Below are 12,200 nucleotides of genomic sequence, written 5' to 3'. Positions count from 1 at the left end.
ATATAGAATTTTTGGTTGACAATGCTTTTCTTTTAGTAATTTGAATATATAATTCCATTGCCTTTGGCTCTATGGTTTCTGATGCGATGTCAGATGTGACTTTTATTGAGGATGCCTTCTACATGATTAGTTGTTTCTCTCTTGCTGTTTTCAGGATTCTCTCTTTGTCTTTGTCATATAACAATTTGATTATAATGTGTTCCTGTGTGTATCCCTTTGAATTTATCTTACTTAAAAGTTTGTTTAGCTTCTTGAATGTGTAGATTCATGTTTTTCATCAAGTTTGGGACACTTGCAGTCATTATTTTTAAAAATAATTTTCCTGCTCCTTTCTCTTCTCTCATTCTGGGATTCCTATTATGCTTATGTTATGCCAGATGGTATTCCACAGACTTCTTAGACTCTCTTTATTTAAAAAAAATTTTTTTTTATTTCTGTTCATCAAGCCAGAAAACCTCAAGTTACCTATTCTCAGGTTTATCTATTCTCATGACTTCATTTTTTACCTGTTCAAATCTGCTGTTGAGCCTCTCGTGAATTTTTAATTTACATTATTGTACTTTTCAAACCCAGAATTTTTATTTGATTGCTTTTTTATAATTTTTGTCACTTTGTTGATATTCTGTATTTGTTGAGACACTGTTCTCATGGTTTCCATTAGTTCTTTAGACCTGGCTTTTGTTTTTGTTTTTAGCTCTTCAAGCATATTTAGGACCATTGATTTAAATAGTCTTTGTCTAGTAAGTCCAGTGACTAGGCTTCCTCAGGGGCAATTTCTGTTAATTTCTTTTTTCTGGGTATAGGCCATAGTTTTTTGTTTATGTCTTGTAATTTTTTTGTTCCAAACTGGATTTTTTGTATATTATAATGTGGTAACTTAGGAAATGAGATGCTCCCCCTCCCTGTGGATTGTTGCTGCTTGTTATAGCTATGCCTTGTTCATTTAGGACTTTTCTGAACTAATTTTGTGAAGTCTGTATCCTTTGTCATGTGTGGCCACAGAGGCCTCTCTTCCACTAGCTTAGTGGTCAGCTGATGAATCACTAGAGATTTATTTACACGTCTGGAATGACAACAACAACAACAGAAACCCCCCAGTCTTTGCAGATGGGCTGTGTGTATGTTGTGAGGCACGCCTTCAAGGTGCAGCCAGGCATTTTACAACTCTGTCTTAGTTTTTACTTCCTGTTTGCAAAGATCCTGAAAGTCAGCCAGAGGTAGGAGCTTAGGGCCCTCTTAGGTCTTTTCTGAGCATGCACCCAGTTGTGGCATGCATGTGACTTTCTTGATTCACAAAAATATGTAGGAGCTCTTCAAATGAAGCCCATATTCCCTAAAGTATCTCATTCCTTAGCCTTTCCTCCCAAGTGTTTACATTAGTCCATTGTTTGTCTCTTGCCCCAGGTAATAGCAATGAGTACATTAAATGTTTTCAACAAATGCATGCCCCTACACCCCACCTCTCCTCCCCTGTAGACCTCTACCACTCCCACACTTCTACCCTTGATATCTACCTTAGCCCTGGGAGAGTTCTGAGTTAGGCAAAAGACAGGCATATCCTTTGAGCCAGTTCTTCAGGGAGCCACTAGACAGGTCAAATCAGTCAACCACAATTCTTTGAGAATAAGATATGTTCTGCTCCCTGTGGTACTAGGTACCTGTACTGGAATGTTAGCTGTTGCCTTCAAGGCTGCTGCTGAACTGGGGAGTGGATGGGACCAGGGTAAATTAAAATTCCATGACTCTCTCTTAGCTGTTTATTTTGTATTAGGTGTTCCCTTGCTTGTAGTAAGCTTTTGATTATTTCCCAGTGTTCTGAAACAGTTGATTCTGGCAGTTTTTGCCAGTTATTCATTGTTTTTAATAGAGTGACAGACTTGGTGTTCTCTACTGTCTTAGTCCATTGTCTGGTGCCATAACAGAATACCATAGACTGGGTAATTTATAAAGAAAATAAATTTATTTAAAATTAATTTAAATTGAAATTTGCTAAATAGCTCTTCATAGAGATTATTTTAGTTTATATGCCTACCAGCAATGTCTGAGAGTGGCTGTTTCTCTATACCATCATCAACACTACTTAGTATCAAATTTCTTGATCTTCACAAATTGATGGATACATGCCATCTCTTTTTGGTTTATTGGTTTTTCTCTTATGATTTTGGATAAACATCTTTTTAGGTGTCATTCGTATTTGGTTTTCCACTGAACTGCCTTTTTGTATCATTGACCTTTATTCCATTATTCTTGGCCTTTAAAATTTATTTATTAGTTATTACCACTACCTCTTGACTAGGGTAATATATTGAACTGGTTCAAAAATCAAAGTGCTATAAAAAGGAGTACTCAGTAAGTCTTGCACCTGCAGTTGGTAGCTATTTTATTAGTTTCTTATTGATCCTTCCATGGTTCTCAACATGCAAATACAAGCAAATGCTAAAATACTTGTTAACTCCCTTTTTACACAAAAGGCGGCACCCTATGTCTACCACTTGTGTATTGTTTTTGTCATGTACTATTTTCCTGGGGACCGCTCTCATCCTTTTTCATGGCTGTGTATTTACCAGAATTTACTCAGTCAGTACTGTGTTGCTGGATCACTTCGGCTTTTTCCAGGCCTTTGTTCCTCAGTGATGTGCTAAGTAGCCCCATGCATGTCATTTCTTTACATGTGCCAGTTTGTCTATGGACGACATTGCCAGAGTAAGATTGCTGAGTTAAACGGCACATGCATTTAAAAAGATATGATAGATATGGCTGGACTTCCCTACGTAGGTGTTGTAACATTTTGCATTTGTTCCAGTCTGTTTCTGCATCATCTTTTCAATAGATTGTCAAACTTGGATTTTTGCCAGTCTGATAGGTGAGAGATGGCATCTTATTGTAGGTTTAATCTGCATCTCTCTTGAGTGAGGTTGAGGGTCCTTTCATATATTCACGGGCTGTTTATGTTTATTTCCTGTGAGCTAGCTCTTGATATCTAGTTCCCTGATTCTTCCCCAAGAAAAATTCCATAAATATTTTCACAGGATTGTGTTAAATTCCTAGATTAATTTGGAAAGAACTGATTTTATGTTGCATCTTTTTATCCAAGAACTTGTTATGTTTCTCCATTTGTTCAACCCTTCATATATAAAACTTTCTTCATATGGTTTTATTTCTAAAGTTTATTTCTAGGAATTTTATCTTTTTTCACTGTTGCTTTAAATGAGATCTTTACCACATCTGTGAACTAAGATTGCCTGTAGATACAAAGGTTGTTGTTTTCAGTATTCTAATTGTGTTCCCAGTTATCTTACTGAATTATTCTTATTCTTTATAATAGTTTTTCAGTATATTTTCCTGATAATCATATCAATGAACAATGTTTCAGGACCTCATTTTTTATTTCTAGCTCTTTTTCTTATTCTGTTGAGTCATTAGTGCATCCCAACACTCTTCTACAGTACAAAGGAGTCTGTGTACTATGTACTATGTGTTGCTGGTTTGAGGGATGTCCTTGTTTGCTCTTGGCTTTGATGGAAATGTGTCTTAATGTTTGTCCATGAAGCGAGATATTAGCTTTTGAATTGAAATATGTATATTTTATCATGTGGAGAAAACATTTATATCTTTTTCTTGTATTAAGTTTAAAAAAATCATACTTGGATGTCGAATTTTATCAAATGCTTTTTCGTTATCTTTGGTGACTCACTCAGAGTCCAGTCAGAAAAACAAACTACTCCAGGCATTTCAGATGGAAGAGATTGAATATGAGGATTGGGTTATATACGAGTTCAAAGGCTGACAAAATACAAAGGAAATGGGGTACTAGGATAGTGCAGACACTGTCACTTCCAGGGCTGGGGAAAAATAAGAGATGGTGTTACCACAGTTTTGGAGCTTGGTGCAGGGCTCCTGTGGGGCTGGTCTCCAGGCCTCCGAGAGAGGCACTGCAGAACTGCTGTACAGATGTTTGAGGGTGTGGGTGCAGCTCAGTGAGTGTTTGAACCCCTAGGGAGGGTTTGTGACCTGGTGGGTGCCAAGTCAACTGAGAGGGCTCCCATCTGGTCAGCGTTTGGGAGCCAGCCAGTGAGGGAGTGAACACAGTATAGCCTGAGGACAACCTGGGGCTAAGCCCTGCGGCTTGCCGGTGTCTGTGAGGGGGTGTGGCGAGGCTGGCACTAAGAGTGACAACGGAAGATGGGGGCTGGAACCACCATCTGCTGCTGCTGGTGGCATACTGACAGAAATAGGAAACTAGGAAGGAAGTCCCTTTTTCTCTCCTGTCATCTTCCATCCTCTCTCTAGGACTTCCTGTTGGCAGAAGTTAACAGGGAGTCAGTCAACAGGGGTCTGGAAAACCTAGGTAAGTTGGTGAAACTCTAGCCCCAGCGTTATAGAGAGAGTATAGCAGAGTAGGCTTGGAGAGGAAAGAACGTGGGTAAATAACTGCACATCAGGAATCATGCTATTCCCTTAACATGTCACTTCTGGGTGTACAGAATGACTTTCAACACGATGCATTAGCTTAATATCATATTAGGAAAACTCAACCTCTTCCAAATTTCCGGTCACGCCACAAATTTGTTACTCTTGTCAATACTGAATTCCATTCTGTTATGCTCAGAAGGTTACTAAGAGCCTTCTTACTAAACTTCTTCCTTGATTTAAAGTGTGCATATTACTTTAGGCTTGCAGCTGTGTGTCTAGTGATGGAATTGAAGAAATGGCTCTGGAAAATGCTCTGCTCATCTAATGGGCAATGCTCCTGTGTCCTTTTCTTTTTTTCTTTCTTTCTTTCTTTTTTTTTTTTTTTTTTTTTTTTGAGACAGAGTTTCTCTCTATTGCCCAGGCTGGAGTGCAGTGGTGCGATCTTGGCTCACTGCAACCTTCACCTCCTGGGTTCAAGCGATCCTCCTGCCTCAGCCTCCCCAGTAGCTAGGATTACAGGCATGCACCACCACGCTCGGTTAATTTTTTTGTATTTTTAGTAGAGACGGGGTTTCACCATATTTGCCAGGCTGGTCTTGAACCCCTGACCTTAGGTAATCTGCCCGCCTCGGCCTCCCAAAGTGCTGGGATTACAAGCGTGAGCCACCATGCCTGGCTGAGAATTGCTTGAACCCAGGTGGCGGAGGTTGCAGTGAGCCAAGATCGCGCCACTGCACTCCAGCCTGGGCGACAGAGCGAGACTCCGTATCAAAACAAAATTGCAAGTCTTTAGTGCAAGGGCGTAACAGGGAATGCCTGGTATGGACCAGTTGTTAAGGCTCTGCACAGCAACAATGGCCAAGTGTTCTTTATGTTGTGAGTAGGTTGTGAATTTCATTACAGTGTGATGAGGTTTGTTCTGTTCGTGGTTTTTGCATACTTTCAAGGGATTTTCTTAAACTTGTGAGTTCAGAGATGTCTGTTATAAATGAGATTTTAAGAAGAATGACTTTTGAAAGGGTTCTCACATAGGCAAATTAGGTCAGCAACTTCACTTTCCATGCTTTTCACACGTTTGGGATACTTGTCACCTAGTTTCTGGGTCAGGTGTGTATATATGCCAACAGGCTGGCTGTTTAGGTGAACAATAAGATGTCTCCATATGCTGGTGGTGTTACTAATGGTCAAAAGATCGATCACGTGTGAGGTTGCATTAAGAGCAACTTCTTTTCTCCGGGAATGCCACTTAATACCACCCTGGGACTGGCTCCGAGAAGCCTGGGAGGAGCTTAATATTTCTTGCTTCCTGTAACTGTATGCTGTTTAGTGCAGGGTAACCCTGCAAATAGGACAGAAAGATCGTTTGCAGTGAGAATGGCTGGAGGTTGACGCTCAACTTTCTCTGTGTTCAAGAATGGTTGTTTCCCATTTGTCAGTTGTGTTAGGTCCGAGCGATTTCTAGGAGCTCCTCATGAGTCTGGATCTTAAGGAATCAATGAAGCCCAATCAGAAATATCTTAATGTCAGTGTCTTTTTTGTTCGTTTGTTTTTGGTGACAATTACAAAAATTTTATTATCTTTTAAAATTTTTGTGGGTACATAGTAGGTGTATATATTTATGAGGTACATGAGATGTTTTGATACAGGCAGGCAATGTGAAATAAGCACATTGTGGAGAATGGAGTATCCATCCCCTGAAGCATTTATCCTTTGAGTTACAAATAATCCACTTATATTCTTTAAGTTATTTTGAAATATACAAAGTTTTCCAGAAAAGAATGCTTTCTATAAGAGGCTCCCCATGGTGAGGGTCCTTTGTAGTGGCAGAAGAATTAATGAGGGTAGATTTCAATTTCACACCCTTGCTACAGAGGTGATGGGAACTCTCTACGTCTGCTATGCAGGTGCTAAGGGCAGTGAGTCATCTTTGTTCAATCTTGTTCCTTCTGGTGACACATGAATGTACTTTTACCAAAAACATCACAGAATCTACGATGTGTTATTTCCATCTGGTTAATAATTATAACTACCTTTGGATTTCTTCCTACATCTTTCCACACTTACTTGGGGAAAATGCAAAAGGAATATTTCATCTTCACCGCAGTAGTGCCTGTGATTAATGCAGTCATGAGCTGCTAACGAAACAAGCAAAGAGCTGCTTAGCTTTGATTCAATCCTTAAATCACTTGGGAAAAACCAACTGAAGGGGGAAAAAAAGAGGTCGGAGAAGGCACTGGAATTCTCTTTTCTGTTTTTTCAAGAGACAAGGTCTCGCTATATTGCCCAGGCTGGATTTGAACTCCCAGGCTCAAGCGATCCTGCCTCTGCCTCCTGAGCGGTTGGGATTACAGGCATACACCACTGCTCCCGGCAACAATGGAATTGTTAAAGACAGAGGCTGGCCACCTGTCTGACTTGCTTGCAGTTAGCACCCACACTGCTTATGAAAGTACTAGCGAGTTTCAGGCCTTTTCCTTGTAGTTCATGTGACCTTGTGTTCCCAGTATTTACCAAATATTTTAAATAGTTTCCCAAAAAATTTCCTCCTTCATTTCACACAGTGTGCACATTCAGACCATAAAAGGACCTACTGGAATAAATGCTGAAATTTCACAAACCACAGTGTATCTTAATGATAGGTTTTTAGATATAGGTTTACAGGGGGGCTTATAGTAGTTTCATGATAGGGTGAATTTTTCTCAATCTTTGATATTTTCCAGTTTGCCTCCTTGGGGTTGCATTTTGGCAGAGAAGGCTTTAACACCCCAATGTTCTTAACTTCAGTAGTTGTTGATTGAACAACTACTTTTGGCAATAACCTTTTTCTGTACTATAGAGGATATCAAATAAAAAGGGAGAATTGACCAGATGTAGTCCCTGCTTTGTAGAATTTTACATTGGGAAGGGAAAGATGGAATGGTGAAGAGAATCACAGAAGTATGGAGAGAGGCAGATTGATTCCAGCTGGAGGGATTTGAGGAAGGTTTGTGTAGGATGTGGCATGTGAACTTGGCCTGGCATGATTGGTTGGAAATAGGCAAAGGGATGACGGATTGGGAGGGCATTTTAAGTAATGCAAATAGATTGAGCAAAGGCTTGGAAGTAGAATAGCACTTGGCAAAATGTGTTGGGAGAAGGGGAATGATAGTCACTCTGTGGACTGGAATTGTAGTCTTAGTGGGATAGGCGATATAGAGAGTCTTCATCCAACTGTGTGATAAATATCCTCTGGCCGTTTAGGCCCCTCTGTGACACACACAGCCAAAATTTAATATATGAGTAGAATGCAAAAATCTGTCATTATAAGAGAAAAATCAAGAAACAGTATATATGGTGGTAAAGAACATAGATTTGAAGCTAGATTGCCTGGGTTCAAATCTTTAATAGCTGTGTTATCTTGGGCAAAGCTACTCAGTCTCTCTGATGCCTCAGTTTTCTCACCTATAACATGGGATAAGACTAGTCCCTATGATAGATTAATTTCAAGAATTAGATTAGAAGATTAACATGAAAAGGGTTTACAACAGTACCTGGCATATAGTATAGAGTAGTGTGTAATTGTTAGTAATTAGTAGTAGTGGTTGTTGTTTTAGTGTTTGTGTTTGGGTATAATGTGTAATTGATTTTTTTTCCTTCGAGAAAGATTAGCCTTTCTGTAGCTTATGTATTCTATATAATTTTGCATTAGTGAAAGTATAGCATCTCAAGCTCGTAAGTGCATGAAGACTCTCACAGTGGAATTTTCGTTGTGATAAAAATGTCTTTCTTTCAGAGAGAATTTGCGCTTTGCATTGTAGCTGTCTAGTTTCACTGGCTGCTTCTTGGGATGTGGCAGATTGTGAAGGTTGGTTGTGTAGCTTATTCACGTGCATGTGCATGTGTACACCTGTGTGTGTATCACAGGTTCTTGTTGAGTCCATTTTGAAATTAATGGGATATATATAGAAGAGAATGATTATCTTTTCTATCAGAAGGGTGTTTTGGTTACAGGCAACAGAAACTGACTTTGGCTCATTTAGGCTTAAGAAAATTAATTGGAAGGCTGCTAGGAGCGCCTAGAAGAGCCAGTGGCTGGGCACCAAACTTGGGAAAAAGCAAGAAGCAAGGTAGCTTGGGTGACCAGGAAACCAGCATCCTGGTCATAGGCAAACAGCCTGGTCTGCGTGAAGCCCCTATTGCTGTCATTGCCACTGTAATGTGGGATCCCCAGCTTCCAATCATTCCTACTCTCCTCATATAACTGCTTGTTGTATAATAGCAGAAAATTGGAAGCAGTTTAAATGCCTAGCACTAGGGATCTTAATACATTATGGAACAGCCATGTATCGGAATAATTGCAGCCCTTAAACATTTTATGTGAGAATATCTAATGACATGGAAACCGTTCACACATTCTATTAAGTGACAGTGGCAGGTAGCAAAACCGTATGGGCAGGATAATTACATTAAAAATCCGATCAAGTAGGTATTACTACTATTCCTATTTTACAGATGATGCATAGAGATTTTGACTCTTGCCCAAGATCACGTGGGTTAGTAAGTGGAAGAGGGGGGTTTCAACCTGGGAGTGAGGCTCCAGAACCAGGCACTTAGCCATTTCACTGTCCTTTCCCTGATAAAGACAGAAAGGCTCTAGAGGAAAAAGTAGTAATAGCAGTTATAGCTGGGTAGTGAGATCATGGATACTTTTATTACTATTTATTTCTTCTGATTTCTATGAGCATATGTTACCTCTATAGTGACCAAAATGATTCTTAAGTTATTGTAAAAATATAACGTTTTAGAATACTTTTCTTCCAGTTGAAAAGTTATGTGTCCCGGCGGGGCACCATGGTTCATGCCCATAATCGCAGCACTTTGGGAGGCCGAGGCAGGCGGATCACTTGAGGTCAGGAGTTCTAGACCAGCCTGGCCAACATTGTGAAACCCCATCTCTACTAAAAATACAAAAATTACCCAGGCGTGGTGACGCACGCATGTAATCCCTTGGGAGGCTGAGGCACGAGAATTGCTTGAACCCGGGAGGCAGAGGCTGCAGTGAGCTGAGATCGCACCACTGCATTCTAGCCTGGGTGACAGACTGAGACTCCATCTCAAAAAAAAAAAAAAAAAAGTTGTGGCCCGGAGATATCCATCACAAATTGCTTTTCATATATGACAAGAAAATTTCAAAAATTGTCTCCATCAATATATGAATTTTCTCTTTGAAGTTTTGTGTCCTACTGTGTGTGTTTATTGTAGACAGGACAAGCAATTTCCATCATTGAAACCAGAAAACATCTTTGGAATTTTAAACTCAGTGTTGCTGTATTTTGGGGATTACATAAAAGCATTGATAAAATAAGTTGTGCTTTAAATGGAAGATTTAAATCTGTGAAGCTTTTTAAGATTGTGTTTGTCACGTCTTGGCACACATTTCTTGTTTGTAGAGTCTGGTTATGAAAAGACTCTGGTTTCCATATGTATATTTAAAATACTCTGAGTCATGGATTCAAATGAGTAATTGACATAATATGTCCATCAGATTCCTGCTTTGTCATACCGTCACATAAGGGGAGTACATTTATTTTAGTAATTGTAATAGTAAACACAGTTAATTAGCAAAATGGTATTCATTTTAAATACCTTTCCCCGGTGTCTTTTATAACTTTCCAGAAATTGCTTTATTGGAATGAAAATGTGTTTGATTTCACAGGAGGCTTAGGAAAAGGGCCACATGTGTATGAACACAGGCGTATGTATACAGTGCTGGGAGTGGTGTATACATAGGTGTTTAGAGATTAGAAGCTCCATGTCTCTATTTCTTCCTCCTTTTTGCTAAGTCTCAACTCAGAATCTGAAACCACATTGATTGTAAGATGTACAATTACATGTGCCACCAAAAAAGAAAAAAAATTGATTGTAACCGGGTGTGGTGGCTCATACGTGTAATCTCAGTACTTTGGGAGGCTGAGGTGGGTGGATCGCTTGACTCAGGAGTTTGAAACCAGCCTGGGCAACATAGTGAGAACCTATTTCCCCTAAAGATAGAAAAATAAGCCAGGCATGATGGCACGCACCTGTGGTCTCAGCTACTTGGGAGGCTGAGGTGGGAGGATCGCTTGAGCCCTGGAGACGCACTGCTGTACTCCAGCCTGGGTGACGGAGTGAGACTGTGTCTCAAAAACAAAAAAACAAAAAAACCAAAAAAATGCAGTTGTAAGATTTACAATTACGTGCACCACCAAAAGAGAAAAAATGCTATGAATCAAATAATGTTGATGCTTTCTAATTATCTATAACCTTTACTTATAACATTGAAAGAGCCACTTATTTAAGTATAGATTTTTTGCATGTGTTATTCTTGTATATACATAATTTAAAAGTATAAGAAAAATAGATTAAGGAATTCTTAACATTTCTTCACAGTCAGTGTCCATCTCTTCTGAATCATCCGTTTGACACAGAATCAACAATATTTGTATTTTCACATAATGAGTAATCAAAGTGTTGACAAGGCAGCTTTTCTGGAAGAGGGCTCTGTAAGTTTTTTTAAACAGCTATATTAAGATAGAATTCACATACCATATAATTTGCCCCTTTAAAGTGTAAATATCAGTGGTTTTGGGTATATTCAGTTATTCATTTTGTAAATTTGGCAAAATACACATTATAAAATTTGCCATTTTAACCATTTTAACTATTGAGTGGATAAATTCTCTTTCAAAACTCTTTAGAGACAGATGCGTAGGATATTAATATGTACAAAGAACAACAAAATATTGAAATAATTTCATCATAATATTAGGGAGATTTTAGAATGTATAAAAATATAAAAATTCCATGTTACTATGTATAGGATCCTATTTTACCTATCTTTTATATATAGTACAAATTTAAGTGGAATCAAAATGTGTAATCCTAGTATGCCCATATAAAAGGGTAGCCAATATACAATGCCTTGTCTTTGAAAATTTCAAATGTGCATCATAATATCACATTAAAAGTCTTTGAATGTGCCTAGACATGGAAATGCAAAATAAGAAAAATGAAATTATTCCCTTGTTTTGTATGTATCTTTTTTTTTTTTTTTGAGACGTGGTCGTGCTCTGTCGCCCAGGCTGGAGTGCAATGGCACAATCTCGGCTCACTGCAACCTCCGCCTCCCTGTTCAAATGATTCTCCTGCCTCAGCCTTCCCAATAGCTTACAGGCGCACACCACCACGCCTGGCTAATTTTTGTGTTTTCAGTAGAGATGGGGTTTCACTACAGTGGCCAGGCTGGTTTCCAACTCCTGACCTCAGGCGATCCGCCTGCCTCGGCCTCCCGAAGTGCTGGGATTACAGGCGTGAGCCACCATGCCCGGCCGTGTGTATCATTTTTTTCCCTTGAGGGTGAGATTAAAATGTCTAGACCTTTAGATGTGGAATTCCCACCTCCATTTACGAAAAGTGATTACACATTGGGCAATAAATTAAATCTATTTATTGTGTTTCAGTTTGAAATTTAATTGTGCATGTCTCTGGTAGGGTATTTTTTTGCTGTTTAAATCTCTGCTCCAAATATGAGCCAGGAACACTGTAGCTCAGTTTTAAAATTAGTAGAAACTGCATGTTACATGAATGGAACATTCTTTTTTGTTGTTGTTCTTTTTGAGACAGGGTCTTGTTCTATCACCCATGCTGGAGTGCAGTGGTGCAATCATAGCTCACTACAGCCTCGAGCTCCTGGGCTCAAGTGATCCTCCCACCTCAGCCTCCTGAGTAGCTGGGACTACAGGCACACACCACTGCACCCAGCTAATTTC

At 39.3% G+C, this 12,200-nt stretch overlaps 1 protein-coding gene across 7 annotated transcripts in view, besides 3 other annotated features; it reads left to right on the top strand.

Moving 5' to 3' along the window:
• SMURF1 (SMAD specific E3 ubiquitin protein ligase 1) overlaps nucleotides 1-12,200 on the top strand; it is a 116,669-nt gene that overhangs the window by 30,690 nt on the left and 73,779 nt on the right. The window lies entirely within an intron of this gene.
• Nucleotides 1,429-1,498: an enhancer, noted in NCBI's record as "active region_26311". NCBI's record gives its function as "activates an Ori minimal core promoter by ATAC-STARR-seq in GM12878 lymphoblastoid cells {active_cell/tissue: GM12878}" and the evidence as "EXISTENCE:reporter gene assay evidence [ECO:0000049][PMID:35858748]".
• Nucleotides 4,050-4,552: an enhancer, noted in NCBI's record as "H3K4me1 hESC enhancer chr7:98706490-98706992 (GRCh37/hg19 assembly coordinates)". NCBI's record gives its function as "activates a minimal SCP1, AML or CMV promoter by ChIP-STARR-seq in naive H9 embryonic stem cells {active_cell/tissue: H9 hESC(naive)}" and the evidence as "EXISTENCE:reporter gene assay evidence [ECO:0000049][PMID:30033119]".
• Nucleotides 9,698-10,897: an enhancer, noted in NCBI's record as "MED14-independent group 3 enhancer chr7:98700145-98701344 (GRCh37/hg19 assembly coordinates)". NCBI's record gives its function as "activates an origin of replication core promoter dependent on BRD2, BRD4, P300/CBP and CDK7 cofactors, and independent of MED14, by STARR-seq in HCT116 cells {active_cell/tissue: HCT116}" and the evidence as "EXISTENCE:reporter gene assay evidence [ECO:0000049][PMID:35650434]".

The sequence above is a fragment of the Homo sapiens genome, chromosome 7 (assembly GCF_000001405.40).
Source record: "Homo sapiens chromosome 7, GRCh38.p14 Primary Assembly".
Taxonomy (NCBI): Eukaryota; Metazoa; Chordata; class Mammalia; order Primates; family Hominidae; genus Homo; species Homo sapiens.
The sequence above is the reverse complement of the archived record's forward strand: the minus strand, read 5'-3'. Positions and strand labels throughout refer to the sequence as shown.